Genomic DNA, 23,532 nt, shown 5'->3' on the forward strand with positions numbered 1-23,532 from the left:
CGGTAATACATATGTTCATGGCCAAGCATGGTAGCTCGCGCCTGTAATCCCAGCACTTTGGGAGGCTGAGGTGGGTGGCTCGCTTGAGATCATGAGTTCGAGACCAGCCTGGGCAATATGGTGAAACCCTGTTGCTACAAAAAATATGAGAATTAGCTGGGCGTAGTGGGGCGAGCCTGTAGTCCCAGTTACTCAAGAGGCTGAGGTGGAAGGATGACTTGAGCCCAGGAGGCGGAGGTTGTAATGAGCTGAGATCACACCCCTCCCTGCATTCCAGCCCGGGAGATCACACCCCTCCCTGCATCCAGCCTGGAAGACAGAACTAGATCTTCTGTCAAAAAAAAAAAAAATTAAAGTTATCTTGATTGTAGTCATGGTTTCAGGGGTGTATTACATATGTTAAAAGTCATCAAATTGTATACTTTAAATATGTAGTTTACTCTCTGTCAATTCTACTTCAATAAAGCTGTTGAGAGACAGAATATTTCACCAGAACCACAGACACTCCAGATGCAGAAGGAATAGTGAACAATAGAGAATGAAAATAAATAATTTGTCAGTCAAGATATGTCACATCTGTCTGAAATGAAATGAAACAGATGACATTTCAAGTACCCACATTACTGAAGTGGGGGGAAAATAACCAACAAAAACCAATAACCTTTTAAAACTTCTTGTTACTCTGTTCTCTTACTAGGCTATGATAACATTTATTTTTTACTAAGTACTTTATATATATATATATATATATTTTGAGACAAGGCCTCACTCTGTCACCCATGCTAAGGTGCAGTGGCACCATCATGGCTCACAATAGCCTCGATCTCCTAGGCTCAAGCGATCCTCCCAACTCAGCCTCCCAAGTAGCTGGGACCAGAGAGGTGTGCCACCACACCAAGCTAGTTAAGAAAAATTTTTTTTATAGCGATGGAGTCTCACTATGTTGCCCAGACTGGTCTCATACTCCTGGGCCCAAACGATCCTCCCGCCTTGGCCTCCCAAAGTGCTGGGATTACAGTCATGAGCCACTGTGCCCACTTGAGTTAAATTCTTTAAAAATACGTCAAATCCTAGATTCAAGATAGCTTCAGCTTCTCCAGGGAACCAAGCACGTGGCTTACTGTACTTTCTTCTAGCAGAATTAAGACAGCCAGAGAGGAAAAAAAAAGGGGGGAAGGGGGGCGCAGGTATAGGCTTTAAATCAACAAGGTGGCCAGGCATGGTGGCTCATGCCTGTAATCCCAGTACTTTCGGAGGCTGAGATGGGTGAATCACCTGAGGTCAGGAGTTGGAGACCAGCCTGACCAAAATGTTAAAACCCCATTTCAAATACAAAAATTAACTAGGCATAGCCGGGCGCGGTGGCTCACGCCTGTAATCCCAGCACTTTGGGAGGCCGAGGCGGGCGGATCATGAGGTCAGGAGATTGAGACCATCCTGGCTAACACGGTGAAACTCCGTCTCTTCTAAAAATACAAAAAATTAGCTGGGTGTGGTGGCGGGCGCCTGTAGTCCCAGCTACTCAGGAGGCTGAGGCAGAATGGCATGAACCCGAGAGGTGGAGCTTGCAGTGAGCCGAGATAGAGACAGCGCCACTGCAGTCCGGCCTAGGCGAAAGAGCGAGACTCCATCTCAAAAAAATAAAAAAAATAAAAAATAAAAAAAAAAATTAACTAGGCATGGTGGCATGCACCCGTAGTCTCAACTACTTGGGAGGCTGAGGCAGGAGAATCTCTTGAATCCAGGAGGCAGAGGTTGCAGTGAGCTGAGATCAGGCCACTGCACTCCAGCCTGCGCAAAAGAGTGAGACTCCATCTCAAAAGAAAAAAAAAAAATCAACAAGGTAACAGAAATACACACCGAGTTAATCATTAAGGGGAACAAGGACAAATCAACACCAGCACACTATCAAGCGGACTGGAATGGACACGTTAAGAAAAAAAGAACAGAACACATTCCCAATTTGGGGAACATTAGGAAATAGCTATTTTTCCAATTTGTTGGTTTTATTTGATGATAAATCTTTTTATTAAAAACTTAGATGGGATAAAGGAACATTATATAACCATGCTAAAGCAAAGGGGTCTTGCAGTTGGCAGAAATCTTATGCTAAAGACAGCAGAAAGAAACATCTGCAAGATTTAGAAATGATTTAATTGAGCATTTGAAAAGACTTGGTTTTCAACATTTAGAAAACCTAAAATTAAGCTTAAAAACACAAAACATGTTGAGAGAAAATTAACCTAGTATTAATAAAATAATCAATTTACTCCCTAAATTCTCTTATTTGGAAATTGTTAACTTGAACACTATTGTAAGTAAATATTAAATTTTGTTTCACCTTGAATTAACCCTTAGGGCTGTGTTTTGTCAAACATTTCCAGTCTAAAATGCATCTGTAAGTTGAGGACATATAAGTCCTTCTTGGACTATATCAGTAACCTACACTTCCAAGGACCTCACCATCTGCTTTATCATGGTTATCAGTATTTCTACCCTCTTGGTTAATAAATTTACAGAATGAAGTCAACAGACAGTAAAGACATCTTTGCAGCACCCTGGGGTACTTGCATTAACAAGGAACTAATAGGGAAAGGTGATTTGGTAACCTTTGAGTCTTGAATTTTCCAAAAGGCAAGGAAATAAATATATGGAGTCTAATAAAGAACATGAAAGCTGAGGTTCTAGACTCTTTACCTGGAAGAAAAGAGGCCTGAGGAGAAGGCTGTGATATCACCAGGCAGCTCAGAGCATCACAGTATGCCATGATCCGGCAGTTTCCTGCCTGAGATACTGTGAAGGTCTTTTGGAAGTGGTACTTGTGCTTGTGCTGGCCCTGGCTGGAGGGTGAGCAGCTCAGGACCCATGCTTGGGAGCCCCTGGGTTGCTGTAAATTCTGACTTTGATGTGACGTAAGTTTTTGCAAGTCCTAAAATGAAAAAGATTTTATAAATACAAAGCTTTTTAATTTGATATTCCCCTCAAATACAATTCCTTGATCTTTTACAGGAAGATTTTTTATCCATTATATGAAAGTGTTAACATGAATCCTAGAGAACTGCAGAGTTTTTGTTTTTTTTTTTAAGACGGAGTCTCACTCTGTCACCCAGGCTGGAGTGCAGTGGGACCATGTTGGCTCACTGCAACCTCCATCTCCTGGGTTCAAGCACTTCTGCCTCAGCCTCCTGAGTAGCTGGGATTACATGCACCCACTACCATGCCCGGCTAATTTTTAAATATTTTTAGTAGAGATGGGGTTTTACCACGTTGGCCGGGCTGGTCTTGAACTCCTGACCTCAGGTGATCCACCCGCCTCGGCCGCCCAAAGTGCTGGGATTACAGGCGTGAGCCACCGCGCCCGGCCAGAACTGCTGAGTTTTTACAGTATTTCAACAAGCAAGTGAAATAAGGAGAGCACAGAATCATAATATGAGGGTTGAAAGTCCTTAATGGTGGTTTCGTTTAAAGTCCTTTAAAAAAAAAAAAAAAAAAAAAAACAACTTAAAAGGAGACAGGGTCTCACTCTGTCATCCATGGCATCCAGGCTGGAGTGCAGTAGTGCGATCACAGCTCATTGTAACCTTCAAACTCCTGGTAAAGCCCTCATTTTACTAGTAGATTTAGGAAGGTAAAATTACTTAAACAAGTTTGGAATTCTTGGTTGGCTATTTAATTTTTTCTAAAATTCAGATTGTAAGGCCAGGTGCAGTGCTCACGCCTGTAATCCCAGCACTTTGGGAAGCCAAGGCAGGCGGATCACCTGAAGTCAGGTGTTCAAGACTAGCCTGGCCATCATGGTGAAACCCTGTCTCTACTAAAAGTACAAAAATTAGCTGGGCATGGTGGTGGGCTCCTGTAATCCCAGCACCTCGAGATGCTGAGGCTGAGGCAGGAGAACCGCTTGAACCCAGGAGACAGAGGTTGCAGTGAGCCGAGATCACATCACTGCACTCCAGCCTAGGTGACAGAGTGAGACTCTGCCTCAAAAAAATAAAAAATAAAATTCAGACTATAGTAGACCTCATCATAAAGTGTGTAGTAAGTTTTGAACAGATGCCCTAATCAGAAATAAAATAAGGAGTTGGTCATGTTCATTTCCTAAACAACTTGGCAAATCCTATTTGTTTCTGAGATGAACATAACTAACATTAGCTTCCTCTTCCATTCCTATTCCAAAAGTTCTTTGGATTAGAAAGGACAAACGTACCTGAACACGCCTTTGAAGCCTAGTGCACTTATCAGTGAGGACCTGCAGTTGGAGTCGGCACTGTGCTGATTCTAACTCGGCCTGTTTCCTTAGCATCTGTTCCTTCAGTAGGGAACTAGAGGGGGAAAGCCAGCAACAAGTGGGGATTAGGAAGGCTACAGAAGACTTCCCATCCAGGTGGCAGAGTTAAGTTCATGCTATGATGCACGTTCTTTGCTGTAAATATGTTATGATAGTGAATAAAATATAAAAAGAGAAAAATCTCTCCAGAAACAGGTTTTAGGGTAAGCAGGGAGTGATGGTCAGGAATTTGACTATTACTAGAAAATGGGGACTAAAAATGCCACAGGCAAAACGAGAGAACAGAGCTAATCTAGTGTTCAGCTACGGCAAATTGTAAAAGATTAAACTGACATGTTAAAAGGCCAAGGTTACTGGATTAAAAAGGAAACAGTAAGCTGTTGGTTGTTCATGAGATACTCAAATAATATAACCCAAAAAAGAATCTGAAGTTAAAAAGAGCAAAAGTAGACATCAAGCAAATATTAACAAAGGAAAGACCAATTAGAATTAAGGAAAAAGCATAAATAGGCATAACGAGGAACAATGTATCATAAAAGGACACATTCACCAAGAATAACAAATATATATTTGTATGTACCTAAAAACAGTCTCAAAATATGAAATGCAAAGACAGAATTCCACTCCAGTAAGATATGCAAGAAAAAGATGAAAATTGGAAAAGATAAAGCTGCCCTTATTAATTTTTATGGCAAATTTAAGAGAACCCCCAAAACAATTACAGTTTAGCAACGCTGCTGGACTCAAGACCAAAAAAATTAGATCAACAGCAGTCCTCATCAGATAACTGATTAGTAAATGTAATTTAAAAAATTCATTCACAACAATTTTAACAGCAATCTAGAAATACAGTCATGTGCAGCTTAATGATGTGGGCATGTTCTGAGAAACATGTTGTTAGGTGATTTCGTCATGTAAACATTACAGAATGTACTTACAGAAACCTACACAGTATAGCCTACTACACACCTAAGCTATATACTGTTGCTCCCAGGCTACAAACTTGTATAGTATGTTACCATAATGAATACTATAGGCAATGGTACTATAATGGTATTTATGTATCTAAACATAGAAAAGGTAATGCATTGAGCTAAGACTTTTTTTTTTTTTTTTTTTTTAGCCCGAGTCTCACTCCATTGCCTAGGCTGCAGAGCAGTGGCGTGATCCAGGCTCACGGCTACCTCCGCCCCCCGGGTTCAAGAGATTTCTTGCCTCAGCCTCCCAAGTAGCTGAGATGACCGGCACCTGCCAACACACCCAGCTAATTTTTGTATTTTTAGTAGAGACAGGGTTTCACCATGTTGCCCAGGCTGGTCTCAAACTCCTGGCCTCAAGTGATCCACCTGCCTCAGCCTCCCAAAGTGCTGGGATTACAGGTGTGAGCTACTACACCCAGTGCGCTAAGCCATTTCAATGATTACAACATCACTTACGCAACAGAATTTTCAGCTCCATTATAATCTTATGGGGCCACCATCGTATATGCAATCTGTCATTGACCCAAAGGTCATTATGCAGCACGTGACTGTAAAGTAAAAGGCTAGGCAGGATCTTTATGAAGCAAAATACACTTGTGAAAGACACAAGAAAACAGTGAACAAATGGAAGGATATTACATAATGTTCATGACTGAAAAGACTATCACAAAGATGGTACTTCTCAAGTTACCCTATAATAATTTTTAATGCAATTTCAATCAAGATCCCAAAGGTGTTTTTCATGGAACTTAACAAATTAATTTTAAAAAATTAATATGAAGAACAATGCCAAAAATAGCAAAAAAATACTTTTGCAGAACAAAATGGGGGAACATATATTAAAGCTACAATAAATTATAGCTTGGAATATGTGAGAAAGAATTAACAAAAAGACTGTGGAACAAAAGAGTACAGTGTCTCCTTATCTAGTTTCATTTTCCATGGTTTCTGATATCTGTGATCAACCACAACCTACAAATATCGAGATATGTTGAGAGAGAGATGGAGACCACACTCACATAACTTACTATAGTATACTGGTATAATTGCTCTATTTTATTATTTATTATTGTTAATCTCTTACTGTTCCTAATTTATAAATTATCCTTTAGGTTTGTATGTATAAGAAAAAACATACTACGGTTTCAGGCATTCACTGGGGGCTCTTGAAATGTATTCCTTGTGGCTAAGGGGGGACTACTGTAGCCCATTCATACATGGAAACTTAATTTTTTTTTTTTTTTTTGAAACAGTCTTGCTCTGTTGCCCAGGTTGGAGTGCAGTGGCGTGATCTTGGCTCACTGCAACCTCCGCCTCCTCCCGAGTTCAAGCGATTCTTCTGACTCAGCATCCTGAGTAGCTGGGATTACAGGTGTGTGCCACCACGCCCAGCTAATTTTTGTATTCTTAGTAGAGACACGGTTTCATCATGTTGGTCAGGCTGGTCTCGAACTTCCGACCTTGTGATCCGCCCACCTCAGCCTCCCAAAGTGCTGGGATTACAGGCGTGAGCCAATGCGCCCGCCCGGAAACTTAATTAAGGATAGAAGTAGCAATGAAAATTTGTACAGAAAAATATACTATTTAGTAAATTATAAGTCAGGTGTGGTGGCATGCGCCTGTACTCCCAGCTACTCAGGATGCTGAGGTTGGAGGACTGCTTGAGCCTAGGAATCTGATGGCGCCACTGCACTCTGGCCTTTGTGATAGAGCAAGACCCTGTCTTTAAAAAAAATTTTTTGGCCAGGCGCAGTGGCTCATGCCTGTAATCCCAGCACTCTGGGAGGCCGAGGTGAGTGGATCACGAGGTCAGGAGTTCAAGACCATCCTGGCCAAGATGGTGAAACCCCGTCTCTACTAAAAATACAAAAAATTAGCCAGGCGTGGTGGCGGGTGCCTGTAGTCTCAGCTACTCGTAAGGCTGAGGCAGGAGAATCACTTAAACCCGGGAGGTGGAGGTTGTAGTGAGCTGAGATCACGCCACTGCACTCCAGCCTGGGCGACAGAGCGAGACTCTGTCTCAAAATAAATAAAATTCACAAAGGTATGAAAAAATGAGAAATCTCTCCTTTTTTTTTAAACAAGAAAAGTTTAAGTTAGAAAAGTAATTTGACAATATTTAGGTAAAGCTGAAATTAAATGTGCCCTATAATAAAGCAATTCCATTGCTAGACCTCTCTGCAGCATGGCTAATATTAACAAGTGGAGACAACCTAAATGTCTACCAATGTAAAACACAAACAGATAATTTTTTTTTTTTTTGAAGACAGAGTTTCGCCATTGTTGCCCAAGCAGGAGTGCAATGGTGCGACCTCGGCTCACCACAACCTCTGCCCCCTGGGTTCAAGCTATCCTCCTGCCTCAGTCTCCCGAGTAGCTGGGACTACAGGTGCGTGCCACCATGCCCGGCTAATTTTTGTATTTTTAGTAGAAATGGGGTTTCACCATGTTGGCCAGGCTGGTCTCCAACTCCTGACCTCAGATGATCCGCCCACCTCAGCCCCTCAAAGTGCTGGGATTATAGGTGTGAGCCACCACGCCTGGCCTAAACAGATTAATTTTGACTAGAGAACTAGAATATTATCAAGAAATTGAAATGAAAAAAACTAGAGTCCCATGTATCAACTAGGATATACTCCCAAAGCATAAAATTAAGCAAAAAAGCAAGCTACAGAAGAAAAAGTTATAATCTAACATAACATTTGCATACAGTATAAAAACTTTCTGGCCGGGTGCAGTGCCTCACGCCTGTAATCTCAGCACTTTGGGAGTCCAAGGCAGGCTGATCACGAGGTCAGGAGTTCCAGACCAGCCTGGCCAACACGGTGAAACCCTGTCTCTACTAAAAATACAAAAAAAATTAGCTGGGCATGGTGAAAGGCGCCTGTAATCCCGGCTACTTGGGAGACTGAGGCAGGAGAATTGCTTGAACCTGGGAGGCGGGAAGTTGTAGTGAGCCAAGATTGCACCATTGCAATCCAGCCTGGGCAACAAGAGCAAAACTCCGTCTCCAAAAAAAAAAAAAAAAAAAAAAAAAACCAAAGAAACCAAAAACCAAAACAAAACTTTCTATATCATACTATGTATAATTTACAAATACATATATAGCTAATCAAATACATAATAACTCTTGGGAATGCTGAACACCTAATTCATGAAAGTAGTTCTCTATGGAATTAAGAACTTAGTTCACAGGAAGACTTCTAGTGTACCTTTTTAAATTTGACACAGAGTCTTGCTCTGTTGCCCAGGCTGGAGTGCAGTGGCGCAATCTCAGCTTACAGTAACCTCCGCCTCCCAGGTTCAAGCGATTCTCGTGCCTCAGCCTCCCGAGTTGCTGGCATTACAGGCACGCACCACCACATCCGGATAATTTTTTGTATTTTTAGTAAAGATGGGGTTTTGCCATGCTGCTCAGGCTGGTCTCAAACTCCTGAGCTCAGGCGATCTGCCTGCCTCAGCCTCCCAGAGTGCTAGGATTTCAGGTGTGAGCCACTGTGCCTGGCCCTTCTACTGAATCTATAATTAACTTCTTCTTCTTTAAAATTTTCTTTCCTTTTTTTCCTTCTTGACCTGGTCAACAGATTTATCTTTATTTTTTTGAGACAGGTTCTTACTCTGTCACCCAGGCTAGAGTGCAGTGGCATGACCATAGCTCACTGCAGCCACAACCTCCTGGGCTCAAGAAATCCTCTCTCCTGAGTAGCTGAGACTACAGGTGTGTACCACTACACACGGATAATTTTTTTCATTTTTATTAGAAACAAGGTCTCACAATGTTGCCCATGCTGCTCTCAAACTCCTGGTCTCAAGCAATCCTCCTGCCTCGGCCTTCCAAAGTGCTGGGATTACAGGCATGAGCCACTACACCCAGCCTATTTATTTTCAAAAAGGCTCAAAGCAATATGGCAAAACATTAAGATTTGATAAAATTGGGTAAAAGGCTGTTCGTTTTATTAGTCTGTATCGGCATTTTGAAACTCTTCACTTTTTCTAATGAGGCTGGAGAGTATACTAATTCCTTATTGTAATCAGTGAATTGTTTTTAAATATAATCACCCATTACAGCCACACGTATAGATTTTGCCTTTTCAACAAAATTCCTCTCTGTACACATCTTCCATTATTTAAAAACGCTACAAGTGAGCATTGGTTGGACCAAATGAGTAAAAACAAGGAAGAAAACTAAAATAATCTGTACAGTGACTACCTATAGAGCTTTTTTTCTTTCTTTTAAAAAAAATTTTAAATACAGATAGGATCTATGTTGGCCAGGTTGGTCTTGAACTCCTGGTCTTAAGCAATCCTTTTGCCTTGGCCTCCCAAAGTGCTGGGATTACAAGAGTGAGCCACCGCACCAGCCTTACTTTTTTTCTAGTTCACAAAAATGCAATCATACTAATAACATGCTTCCACAGGACAACATATGCACATTTCAACATTGTATTCTGTTCATGCATACACCACCGTTCATTCAACTAAGCAATCCCCTTGCCTTAGATTTTTAACAATGCTAAATGAAGTTTCATTAAGTAAATCTTGGTACACAGCCTTCAATGTTTCTTTAGAATGCCTGAACAATTACTAGATCAAAGGCTTTAGAGACACATTTCCAAGGATGTCTCAAAATGATTTTGCCTGTGTACATCCAAACCAGTAAAGTGTGAACCCATGTCACTGTACCTCTCTCTCAATGGTGTGTATGTTCTTTAATATTTTTGAAGCATATACTGAGTGGTGTTACTAGCAACTGTTTTTTTTTTTTTTTTTTTTTTTTGAGACGGAGTCTTGCTCTGTCGCCCAGGCTGGAGTGCAGTGGTGCAATTTCGGCTCACTGCAAGCTCTGCCTCACGGGTTCACGCCATTCTCCTGTCTCAGCCTCCTCAGTAGCTGGGATTACAGGCGTCCGCCACTATGCCCGGCTAATTTTTTTGTATTTTTTAGTAGAGACGGGGTTTCACCGTGTTAGCCAGGATGGTCTTGATCTCCTGACCTTGTGATCTGCCCACCTTGGCCTCCCAAAGTGCTGGGATTACAGGCGTGAGCCACCATGCCCGGCCCTAGCAACTGTTTTGTGCTTCCGAAATCCTGGTAATTTTTTACATTGCACTGCATGTGCAAAGCTTCACTTATGAGTTTTCTGTATGGAGAACTGCTGTGGCGGGGGGTGGTCAGGGATATGAGAAGCAAAAATGGCAACAGAAGTAATGTGCCAGATCCTTGTGTTTAATGCTCTACATAAGGCAAACGATGCAGACTTCCTTAAGAAGATGATCAGACATGAATTATAAATAACAGTGTAAGACAGACTGCCAATGATCCCCAGAGATCCCAAGTCACAGGTCAAGTAAAACCTCACTACGAGTGACTCATAACTTCTTTTTCAGATGTGCCTACAATGAACCAAAAGGGAACATTCCAGCCAGGCATACTCTTACCACCTACCTTTTCATGCGCTCCTGTTCACTAGTGTCCAAAGCTCTCAGGGTTCGGGCATAAAGGACGACAATGTCACTGTGCCTGGCTTTCTTGTTGCACTAAAGAACCCAATAGGACATAATTAGAGTGGTTCTAGGAATCTGCCTGACTTAACATGTTAATGTGTCCTTACCTATGGTCCTTACCTGGGGACATTTTCGTACTTGTCCTTTAAGCCACGTGGAAATGCACCTATACCCAAAGAGATGCCCACAGCGTAATGCTGAGAGCCGGTGGTCCCCAGCATTGGTCCACTGTTCCAGACATATTGTACAAGTGTCCCCTTCTTCCTCATCCATAGAAGCAGAAGGTAGCAGAGGCTCAGACTTCTGGGGAGATGGCTAGATGGAAAGCAGAATATATTCAAATTAGAGAAAATGTAAAATCAATCTTGAAGAAGATGTGCAACTAAGAAATTAACAGAAGTGCAAAAAAAATGATACAATCAAAAGGGCTACAGAACACTTGTAACACCTATGAATCACTTGTCATTCTTTCTAGAATGCAATGTCACAAAATATAAGCTATGAAAACTATACTACTCTTAAATCTTATAAAATTCTTGGATACTTTTTCCTTCACTCAAAGGAAGAAAAGCAGCTATCCATATAAAGAATAGCAGCTATAAAATATTTAACTCATGTGTACCAGAGGGCAAAAAAAGAAAACAAAGGATACAAATGCTTACAAGAAAACACAATGGTCAATAAGTGTTTGCTTATAATTAAAGAAATGCAAATTAAAGAGACCATTTTTCATCTATCAGACTGGTATAAATTGATGTCTGATGACACCAAGCACTGTTGTGGGTAAATGAGATATGGACATGCTTATATACTGTTGCCTTAAATGTAAAGTGGCACACATTTCTGGAGCACCATTTGGCATTATCCATGAAAATTAAAACACATATATCTTTCCTTTGGCATAGCAATCTCTCTGCTAGAGATACCTCATGGATATATAGTCATGCATTGCTTGACAATGGGAATACATTCTGAGAAATGCGTCTTTAGGCGATTTCGTCATTGAATGATCCCAGAGGTACTTAAATAAACCTAGACGGTGTAAACTATTACATACTTAGACAACAAACCTGTATAGGATGTTACTGTACCAAATACTGTAGGCAACTGTAGCACAGTGGTGGGTTTCACCATGTTGGCCGGGCTGGTCCCGAACTCCTGACCTCAAGTGATCCGCCCGCCTTGGTCTCCCAAAGTGCTGGGATTATAAGTGTGAGCCACTGCGCCCAGCCTGGTATTATCATCTAATGGGACAACCATCATACATGTGGTCTGTCATAGACTGAACTATTATGCAGCCCATGATCATAGTCACAAATATTTTCTTTTTTTTTTTTTTTTTTTTTTTTTGAGACAGACTCTCGCTCTGTCGCCCAGGCTGGAGTGTAGCGGCAGAATCTCGGCTCACTGCAAGTTCCGCCTCCTGGGTTCACACCATTCTCTTGCCTCAGCCTCCTGAGTAGCTGGGACTACAGGCGCCTGCCACCAAGCCCGATTTTGTGTATTTTTAGTAGAGACGGGGTTTCACCGTGTTAGTTAGGATGGTCTCGATCTCCTGACCTCGCGATCCGTCCGCCTTGGCCTCCCAAAGTGCAGGGATTACAGACGTGAGCCACCATGCCCAGCCAGTCACAAATATATTCTAAGATAATTATATAAGATTGTTCCAAGCAGGCCAGGTGTAGTAATCACACCTACAGTCCCAGCTTATTGGGAGGCCAAGGCAGGAGGATTCCTTGAGCTCAGGAGTTTGAAACCAGACTGGACAACATAGCAAGACCTTGTCCCTGTTAAAAATTTAAAAAATTAGCCATGTGTGGTGGCACATGCCTGCAGTCCCAAGTAGTCAGGAGGCTGAGGTAGAAGCATCACCTGAGCCCGGGATATTGAGGCTGCAGTGAGCTATGATTGTGCCACTGCACTCCAGCATGAGGGACAGAATGAGACCCTGTCTCAAAAAAGTTCAGTGTAGCATGATTTATATAAAGAAAAAAAATATTATTACCCTCCCAAGTAGTTGAGACAACACAGGCGTGTGCCACCATACACCAACCATGCTTTACATGATAAGAAAAAGAATTAATTCGCTGGGCGCAGTGGCTCACACCTGTAATCCTAGCACTTTGGGAGGCCAAGGCAGGCGGATCATGAAGTCAGGAGATCGAGACCATCCTGGCTGACATGGTGAAACCTCGTCTCTACTAAAATACAAAAAATTAGCCAGGCATGACGGCGTGTGCCTGTAGTTCCAGCTACTCGGGAGACTGAGGCAGGGGAATCGCTTGAACTCAGGAGGTGGAAAGAAAAGAATTAACTCAAAATTTATTTGTATGATGGAATGCCACGTAGCTATTAATAAGAACAAGATGAGACCAGGCATGGTGGCTCACGCCTGTAATCCCAGCACTTTGGGAGCCCGAAGCGGGCGGATCACCAGGTCAGGAGATCAAGACCATCCTGGCTAACACGGTGAAACCCCGTCTCAACAACAACAACAACAACAACAACAACAACAAAATTAGCCAGGTGTGGTGGCAGGCGCCTGTAGTCCCAGCTACCGGGAGGCTGAGGCAGGAGAATGGTGTGAACCTGGGAGGCGGAGCCTGCAGTGAGCCGAGATCATGCCACTGCACTCCAGCCTGGGTGACAGAGCGACACTCGTCTCAAAAAAAAAAAAAGATTCAATTTTATGTACTGATAACAGAAAGCTCTCCAAGATGTACTAAGCTGGGAAAAATGAGCCAGACTCAAATAAAAACACAAAGAGCACATAGAAATATGCAAAAAATGTTAAATGATGTTTTGACATTGGAAGAATTCACAGCAGATGTAAATTACTCATACTGAGGACAATGATGTATAGGTGTTATTTTTATTTTTTTTTTGACATGGAGTCTTGGTCTGTTACCCAGGCTGGAGTGCAATGGCACAATCTCGGCTCACCACAACCTCCGCCTCTCAGATTCAAGTGACTCTCCTGCCTCAGCTTCCCGAGTAGCTGGGACTATAGGCACGCACCACCATATCCGGCTAATTTTTGTATTTTTAGTAGAGATGGGGTTTCACCCTGTTGGCCAGGCTGGTCTCAAACTCCTGTGCTCAGGTGACTCACCCACCTTGACTTCCCACAGTGCTGGGATTACAGGTGTGAGCCACTGCGCCCGGCCAACATTATTATTACTATTCTTTGAGATGAAGTCGTGCTCCGTCTCCCAAGCTAGAGCGCAGTGACGCTATTTGGGCTCACTGCAACTTCTGCCTCCCAGGTTCAAGCGATTCTCCTATCTCAGCCTCCTGAGTAGCTGGGATTATATGCGCCTGCCAACATACCCAGCTAATCTTTGCATTTTTACTAGGGATGGGGTTTCGCCATGTTGGCCAGGCTGGTCTTGAACTCCTGACCTCAGGTGATCCGCCCGCCTTGGCCTCCAACAGTGCTGGGATTATAGGCATGGGCCACCGCGCCCAGCCCATTATTTTTAAAAATAAAAATTATCACCTACTAACCATATTCTGCCTGATTTTTTTTTAATTTTAATTTTTTTATTGAGACAGGGTCTCACTCTGCTGCCATGGAGTGCAGTGGTGCAATCATGGCTCACTGAAGCCTTGACCTCCCAGGCTCAAGTAATCCTGTCTCAGACTCCCTAAGTAGCTAGGACTATAGGCGCATGCCACCACACCTGGCGAATGTGCTTAATAATTTATAAAGCACATTTATGTCTATTTTTTCAACTGATACTTAACCTTGTTGGCTAGACAGGACAGGTTATCCTCAATACTCCTCCCTCCCCATTTTTAAATCTAAGAGACAGCAGTCACACAAATAATGAGTAACTGGGATAGGATCCACACCTGGACCTCTTGCCTACAAAGCCTGCAAGCTTCCCATTTTAACCTGCAGCCCCACTTTGGTTAGAGACTAGGTTTCACCATGTTGGCCAGGCTGGTCTCAAACTCCCTACTTCAGGTGATCCACCCGCCTTGGCCTCCCAAAGTGCTGGGATTACAGGTGTAAGCCACCGTGCCCAGCCAAAAACCCAAACCTTTTATTTAAAAGGATATTCAGAGGCCAGGAACGGTGGCTCACACCTATAATCCCAGCACTTTGGGAGGCCGAGGTGGGTGGATCACAAGGTCAGGAGTTTGAGACCAGCCTGGCCAGTATGGTGAAACCCCGTCTCTAACTTAAAAGACAAAAATTAGCTGGGCGGGGTGGCGTGTGCCTGTAGTCCCAGCTGCTCGGGAGGCTGAGGTAGGAGAATTGCTTAAACACGGGAGGCAGAGGTTATTGTGGTGAGCTGAGATCGCACCACCGCACTCCACCCTGGGCAACAGAGTGAGACTCCGTCTCAAAAAAAAAGAAAAAAAAGGGGATATTCAGGTTGGGCATGGTGGCTCATGACTACAATCTCAATGGTTTGGGAGGCCGAGGCAGGACGATACCTTGAGCCCAGGAGTTCGAAACCAACTGGGTAATATAGTGAGACTCTGTCTACAAAAAATAAAAAATGTAGCCGAGTGTGGTGGCATTACCTGTAGTTCCAGCTATTCAGGAGGCTGAAGTGGGAGGATCCTTTGAGCCCAGGAGTTTGAAACTGCAGTGAGTTATGACTGCACCACTGCACTCTAGCCTGGGTGAGAGTGAGACCTAGTCTCTAAAAATAAATAAATAAATAAATAGATTTTTTTAAAATGATGTTCATATTACCTGTTTGGGGAGGGTCTTGCCTCCATCGATACATGTAACTTCTTGCTCTGCTGAGACACCTGCTAGTTGCTCTGCCAAGTCATTTCCAGAAATGACAGGAGAGGTAAAATACAAAATAAGATATGTCAGGTATGAGAAGCTAGCAGGAGAGAGCCTGACTCACTACAGCTTCCCATTTCTAACTGACAGTGTTCCTGCAAAAAGGATGACAACTTCCCCAGGTACCATCAGTGAATTTATTTTTAAAAATTTAGTTTGAATATTCTCAAACATACATAAAAGTACACAGAACAGTATAGTTAAGCCACAAGTACCCATCACTCAATTTAAAAAATAATCAATATTTTGCCAATCTTGTTCCACCTAAGCCCCCATTCCATTATTTTCTTTTGGTTGGAATACTTAACAAACCTTAAAATGTCATTATACTTGCAAAAACTTCTGCAACACTGATAAGAATTCTTTTTTTATATAAACACTGTGTAATTATTATACCTAACAATATTAACAATAATCCTCCAATACCACTAAATATCCAGGCATCCAGTTCATATTCAAAATTTCCCAATAGTTTTAAAGCTGCTCTTTGCAGATTTATTGCAATCAGAATCCAAAAAAAGTCTCCATAATGAGCTTGTGATGTCTCTTAAGTCTTTTTCATTTTATTACAATTCCCCCTCACCCATTTTTTTCCCCTCTGTTTGTCATTGATTTGTCAGGTCATTTGTCTAATGAAATGTCCTACACATCCTGGATTTGGCTGACTGCTTCTTCATGAAATTAACTTTTATATATAATAAATTGAGCATTGTGCAACCACCACCATAACCCAATTTAAAATATTTCTATCAGCCCACAAAGATCCTTTATGCCCATTTAGAGTCAATCCACATTTGCATCTGCAGCCCTGGGCAACCACTAATATTATCTCTGTAGACTTGCCTTTTCTGGACATTTTATGTAAGTGGAATCATAAACTATGTTGGTTTACTGTTACATAAAACATTAAAAATTGTCCCCACTGATTTGAGATATTCCCTTCACAATATGTTAAATTTCCATATATATTTAGGTCTAGAAAGATGTTCCATTTGTAGACTGTTCTACATTTTTAATTTAAATGATTACATCTCTGAGGTATTATTTATCTTGTTCCTCCACCCCCGTTTCTACAAACTATGCAAACTGGTTGTTAGAAAACAGTCTTGAGTAGATTCAGGGCTTTTTTTTTTTTTTGGCAATGGGGGTGGGGGGCTGGTGTGTGTGTGTATACAGTACTTCCTAAGTGGCATGAGTATTTCTGATTGCAGCACATTAGAGGCACATATGGTCTTGCTGTCCTATTTTTTTAAGATGCTAAGATTGACCAATGGGTTCAGGTGGTATCACCCTGGTCCCTGTATTAAAAGGAATCCCATCAACCCTGCAACCTAATGGTTTTAGGATCCACTGATGATCTTTGCCTAGATATATAATTTAATTGGGGGTCACAAAATGATGACTTTTCTATCGTTCCTGCTGCAATTAGCTGAAATTTTTCTATTAAAAAAACCTTCAAGCCTGGACAACATAGGGAGACCCCACAGCTACAAAAAATTAGCCAGGTGTGGAGGCATGCACATGTAGTCCTAGCTACTCAGGTGGCTGAGGCGGGAGGATCGCTTGAGCCTGGGAGGTCAAGGCTGCGGTGAGCTGTGATCGTGCCACTGCACTCCAACCTGGGGGACAGAGTGTAACCCTGTCTCAAAAAAAACAAATGAAAAAAAAAACAACAAAAAAACCCACTTCATCAACTATCTGATTGTCCAAAATACAGTTTATACAGGAAGGCAAAATATTAATATATTCCTGACCCTTTATTTACTAGTTTTTGGAGTAATTAGTTGGGGTTCTAACAACTTACGATAGTGATAAATGAGGTTTTGGAAAATTATATAAATATGAACTTAAAGATTTTCATTGATTTATTATATTTCAATTCATAATCCAAGAATATTCTTTCAGTGGTAAAATATACTGAAAGAGCGCCCTCTGGGGATCAGAAAGTTTTTAACATAAGCAGGACATCTACTTTAGGGGTCTCTGCCTACGACTATTAAATAAAGTTCCACTTGCATAACACATAACATTATACTAGGACTTGAAAGTGTCAGCCTAGACAGGGTGCTGAATTTACAAAACTTTTCTTTTAAATAAAGAATCTAGGCCGGGTGCAGTGGCTCATGTCTGTAATCCCAGCACTTTGGGAGGCTGAGGTAGGTGGATCTCTTGAGCTCAGGAGTTTATGACCAGCCGGGGCAACATGGAAAAACTCTGTCTCTACAAAAAATTTAAAAAATTAGCCAGGTGTGGTGGTGTGTGCCTGTAGTCCCAGTTAGTGGGGAGGCTGAGGTGGGAGGATGGCTTGAGCCCAAGAAGCGGAAGTTGCAGTAAGCTGAGATTGTTGTCGCTGCACTCCAGTTGTCACTGGGGGACAGAGCCAGACCTTGCCTCAAAAAAGAAAAAAAAGAATCTACTTTCTCAGATGTCTGAAGAAGTGAAAGAGAATACAAAATGCCACTACAAAGTGACTAACTCACTGGGTCACAAATTACATTAAGCTGTAAGTCAGATCAAATCCTCTCTACATAATTATGGCCAGTGAAGGCTCTATACTATAAAACAGGAATCCACAACATTTAGGGGAGAAAAGGGAAAGTGTCAAAGCACAAATCTAGTTTCTAGCCTTCCGAAATTTAAGCTTCATGGATGTTAGCCTTGTGAGTCCAAACCTGGGTAAAATACTGACCTTCTAAAATGACAGCTCCAGATTCCTCTGCCTGGTCAACAACCCCTCCATACTCTGCAGAGCTGTCACTGTCAGAATCAGAACTACTAGACACCTGCAACTCTTCAGATACAGGATTCCTAGTCTCTGAATCATAAGTGGTAGCTGGCAAGTCAGGCTGGGTCCTGCTCACCTGAAAGTAAGCATCCAATGGTGCTCTCAACCTATGTACACAGAAAGACAACGGAATTATAGTACAATGAACTATCATCACAAAAACAATCTATAGTGATTTGAAGTAAATCCTATCACTTCAACCCATCTCCAGGCCATTAAATGCTGCCTTTGAAAGCTGAAGCAGGTATAGCAGATAAGGGGGGGAGACTGGCCTCCTAGATATTATTTTTTACCACTCAACCACTGCTACATTAGCCCACAAAGGAGCTTGATCCTTCCGTTAAAAGCTAATTCTATTTTACTGGCATCTGGCCATATTGTCAGTATCTTTAAAGGACAAACTCAGCAATCTGTATGCTGGTATTAGGTGGCTGAAAAGGGAGGGTTAGCAAGAAGAAAAAGGGCTTTGTTGCCCAAATATGGCCTCATGGGATTTTGCTATTGCAGTCACCCAGACCAAGGTATTTTGGAGTACAGTACAGGGTCTGGCTTCTGTAATTTCTTCATCTCTCATTTTAGGATAGTATTTTTCTTTTAAAATTTAAATAATGTTAGTTTTAAGATAAAAAACATAAATGATAATATGGCATCAAACAAAATAACTTAGAATGATGAGAAGACCTGGGGCCAAATCTAACACTCCAAATATATCTTGGCTGGCTGAGTTTAAAATAACCACTACTGTACCTCAGTTTCTCTAACTCCTGGAATAACAAGGCATACTCCAGTTTGAGCTGAGGAGTTTGAGGCCACTTTTGTCACAGAATTAATGAAACTTTATATTTAGTAGAGACAGGGTCTTACAATGTTGGCCAAGCTGGTCTCCAACTCCTGACCTCAAATGATCCACCCACCTTGGCCTCCCAAAATGCTGGAATTGCAGGCATGAGCCACCACACCCAGACAAATTAATAAAACCTTATACTAAAAACCAGGAGTTCCTGAGGAAGGATCTAGGGACACACACACACAGACACATTAGGCTAGCTGCGATGACTCATGTCTGTAATCCTAGCACTTTGGGAGGCCAAGGTGGGTAAACTGCTTGTGCCTAGGAGTTCGAGACCAGCCTGATTAACATGGTGAAACCCCATCTCTACAAAAAATACACAATATAGCCAGGCATGGTGGTGTGCTCCTGTAGTTCCAGCTACTTGGGAGGCCAAGGTGGGAGGATGGCTTGAGCCTGGGAGATTGAGGCTGCAGTGAGCCATGATGGTGCCCATACTCCAGCCTGGGTATCAGAGTGAGACTTGTCTCAACAACAAAAAAACAAAAAAATGACACCCAAAAAACTTGGGAGGCTGAGGCAGGAGGATCACTTGAGCCCGAGAGTTTGAGGCCACAGAGAGTGAGCGAGCTATGGTTGTGCTACTGCACTCCAGCCTAGGTGGCAAGAGAGAGACTCCATCTTCAAAAAAAAAAAGAAGAAGAAAAAATAAAAATTTAAAAAATGGCTGAGTTTGGTGGCTTACGCCTATAATCCCAGCACTCTGGAAAGCCAAGGCAGGAGGATTGCTTGAGGCCAGAAGTTTGAGACCAGACTAGCCAACAAAGTAAGACACCATCTCTATTAAAAAAAAATTTAAAACAAAAGGGCAACTAAGTATTACTGACAGGTGACCTACTAGAAGTTTTAATAATTATGACATTAAATAAAATATTGATTATTACCCAGAAACATTGTTGAGGACTGCTTACACAGAAAAATTTTATTCCTAATAGTTTGGCTGCAATTTATTGATGAATTAGGGCTTTGACTAAATGCTAACTAGAACAAAATAAACACTACTCAGTGTCCAACTCAATAGACAGAAGATTTTTTGACCTCTTAAAAAAAGAAATGTCAGTAAACCAAAAGGAGAAATAGCAATCAAGTTGCTTTTCTTTTTTGGAAATTGAGATATAATATACTATAAAATCCACAATTTAAAAGTGTTCAATTCAGTGTTGTTTTTTTTTAGCATAACCACAAGGTTATGTAATCATAATCATAACCATTATCTGGTTCCAAAACATTTTTGTCACACCTAAAAGGGACCCTGTATCCACAAGCAGTCATTTCCCCTCCTATTTGGTAGTCATGTCCTCTCTTTCATTCTTCATTTTAGTATTTTGAGTCTTCTCTATTTCTTGGTTGGTCTAGCTAAAAGTCTGTCAATTTTGTTGATCTTTTAGAAGAACCAACTTTTTGATTCGTTCATTTTCTCTCATTTTTCTATTCTCTATTTCATTTATTTATATGCTAACCTTTATTATTTCTTTCTGTCTGCCTGTGTTGGGTTTTGTTTGTTCCTCTGTTATTTAGGAGTGTGTTATGTAATTTTTACAAGTTTGGTGTGCAAGAATCACACCCATATAAGATGGTGAACTTAATCAGTAAATGTTGTGTATGTTGACTGCTCCACCCACCAGCCATTCCCCTCCCTCCCTCTCCTTGGGATTCCTTATTCCCTGAGACAAAACAATACTGAAATTAGGCCAGTTAGTAACTCTACAATGGCCTCTAAGTGTTCAAATTAAGGGAAGAGTCAGGCATCTCTCACTTTAAATCACTAAGCTAAAGTGATTAAGCTTAGTGAGGAAGGCATGTCAAAAGCTGGGATAGGCCAGAAGCCAGGCCTTTTGCACCAAACAGCCAAGTGGTGAATGCAAAGGAAAAGTTTCTGAAGAAAATTAAGCGCTACAACAGCGAATACATGAATGATAAGACAGCCTTATTGCTGATATGGAGACAGTTTTAGTGGTCTGGAAAGAAGATCAAACCAGCCACAACATTCCCTTAAGTGAATCCCTAATCCAGAGGAAGGCCCCAACTCTCTTTAATTCTGTGAAAGCTGAGAAGTGAGGAAGCTGCAGGAAGTTGGAAGAAAGCAGAGGCTGGTTCATGAGGTTTAAGAAAAGATACTGTCTCCATAAAGTGCATGAAGCAGCAGCAAGCGCTGACATTGAAACTGTACCAAGTTATCCAGAATATCTAGCTAAGACAATTGATGAAAGTATCTACACTAAAAAGATTCTCAGTGTAGATGAAACACCCCTCTATTGGAAGATGCCACGTAGGACTTTTGCAGCTACAGAGAAGTCAATGCCTGGCTTCAAGGCTCAAAGGACAGGCTGACTCTCTTGTTAGGGGATAATGCTGCTGGTGACTTCAGTTGAAGCCGATGCTCTTTTTTTTTGAGACAGAGTCTCACTTTGTCGCCCAGGTTAGAGTGCAGTGGCGTGATCTCGGCTCACTGCAAGCTCTGCCTCCCGGGTTCACGCCATTCTCCTGCCTCAGCCTCCCGAGTAGCTGGGACTACAGGCACCCGCCACCACGCCTGGCTAATTTTTTTTTTTTTTGTATTTTTAGTAGAGATGAGGTTTCACCCTGTTAGCCAGGATGGTCTCGATCTCCTGACCTCGTGATTCGCCCGCCTCGGCCTCCCAAAGTCCTGGGATTACAGGCATGAGCCACCATGCCCAGCTGAAGCCGATGCTCTTTTACTGTTCTGAAAATCCTAGGGTGCTTGAAAATTATGCTAAATTTATTCTGTCTGTGCTCTCTCTCTTTTTTTTTGAGATGGAGTCTCGCTCTGTCACCCAGGCTGCAGTGCAGTGGCGCCTGGCTAATTTGTTGTATTTTTAGTGGAGACGGGGTTTCACCGTGTTAGCCAGGATGGTCTCACCCATCTCCTGACCTCGTGATCTGCCCACCTCGGCCTCCCAAAGTGCTGGGATTACAGGCGTGAGCCACCACACCCGGCCTATGTCTGTGCTCTCTAAATGGAACTACAAAGCCTGGATAACAGCTTATCTGTTTAGAGTATGTCTTACAACTTATGCCCACTGTTGAAACCTACTATTCAGAAAAAAGGATTCCTTTAAATATATTACTGCTCATTGACAATGCACCCAGTAAACCAAGAGCTCTGAAGGTGATTAATGTTATTTTCATGTCTGTTAATATAACATATTCTGCAGCCCAACTTTCAAGACTTATTATTTAAGAAATAAGGCCAGACACAGTGGCTCACACCTGTAATCTCAGTACTTTAATGAAATAACATCTCTACAAAAAACAGAAAAAATTAGCTGGGTGTGGCGGCTTGTGCCTTTAGTCCCAGCTACTCTGTAGGCTGAGGCAGGAGGATCGAGGATCACCTGAGCCCGGGGAGGTTGAGGCTGCAGTGAGCCATGATCACACCACTGTACTCCAGCCTGGGCAACAGAGTGAGACCTTGTCTTGCCAAAAAAAAAAAAAAAAAAAAAAAGAAAAGAAAAGAAATATTTTGTTGTGACTCTTAGCTGTGGGGAAAAGCTTTTTTTATTTTATTTTTTTTAATTTCTTAAGATGATAGCTGCCAGTGATTCCTCTAATGGATCTGGACAAAGTAAATTGAAAACCTTGAAATGATCCACCATTCTTTTTTTTTCTTTTTGGAGACAGGGTCTGGCTCTGTCACCCAGGCTGGAGTGCAGTGGCATGATATTGGCTCATTGGAACCTTTCACCCCAACCTCCTAAGTAGCTGGGACTACAGGCATGCACACCATGCCCAGCTAATTTTTGTATTTTTTTGTAGAGACAAGGTTTCAACATGTTGGCCAGGTTGGTCTTGAACTCCTGAGCTCAGGCAATCTGCCTGCTTCAGCCCCCCAAAGTGCTGGGATTATAGGCATGAGCCACTGTGCCTTGGGGATCCACCATCCTTGATGCCCCTAAGAACATTCATGATTCATGGGAGGAGGCCAAAATATCAACATTATCAGGAATTTAGAAGAAGTTGATGTCAACTCTTATGGATGACTTTTGCCGGGCTCAAGACTTCAGTTAAGAAAGTAACTGCAGATGTGCTAGAAACAGCAAGAGAACTAGACTTAGAAGATGTGACTGAATTGATCTCATTCCTAGATTTTCCTTTCCTTCTTATTGGTTAGTTTATTGCTTATCCCACTGAATATCCATTACCTCAGGCAGGCCCCAGGGAAAATGATTTAGGCTTTTCACACTCTGCATTGCTCAGAGTCAAGAGTAGTCTTGCAAATGGGGTTTTCCAGAGAACCACCAACAGGTCATATAAAGATAATTCTCTGGGAATGAGGCTTTGAAGGTGCTCCAAT

The 23,532-nt window shown here is 42.0% G+C and overlaps 1 protein-coding gene across 15 annotated transcripts in view; it reads right to left on the minus strand.

Moving 5' to 3' along the window:
- Positions 1-23,532, minus strand: part of RFWD3 (ring finger and WD repeat domain 3) — a 45,479-nt gene that overhangs the window by 12,250 nt on the left and 9,697 nt on the right. For 10 of the 15 annotated variants that reach the window (NM_001370534.1, XM_011523191.4, NM_001370536.1 and 7 more), the window contains 6 exons: positions 18,272-18,474; positions 15,484-15,554; positions 10,893-11,087; positions 10,714-10,805; positions 4,208-4,322; positions 2,698-2,929 (listed from right to left, as the gene is read on the minus strand). In NM_001370534.1, the coding sequence (NP_001357463.1) occupies positions 2,698-2,929; positions 4,208-4,322; positions 10,714-10,805; positions 10,893-11,087; positions 15,484-15,554; positions 18,272-18,474 (908 nt within the window). Of the gene's footprint in view, positions 1-2,697; positions 2,930-4,207; positions 4,323-10,713; positions 10,806-10,892; positions 11,088-11,842; positions 12,017-15,308; positions 15,431-15,483; positions 15,555-18,271; positions 18,475-23,532 lie in introns of all 15 variants that reach the window. The other 5 variants (NM_001370537.1, NM_001370542.1, NM_001370539.1 and 2 more) reach the window with 5 other exon arrangements.

Source organism: Homo sapiens, chromosome 16 (assembly GCF_000001405.40).
Source record: "Homo sapiens chromosome 16, GRCh38.p14 Primary Assembly".
Taxonomy (NCBI): domain Eukaryota; kingdom Metazoa; phylum Chordata; class Mammalia; order Primates; family Hominidae; genus Homo; species Homo sapiens.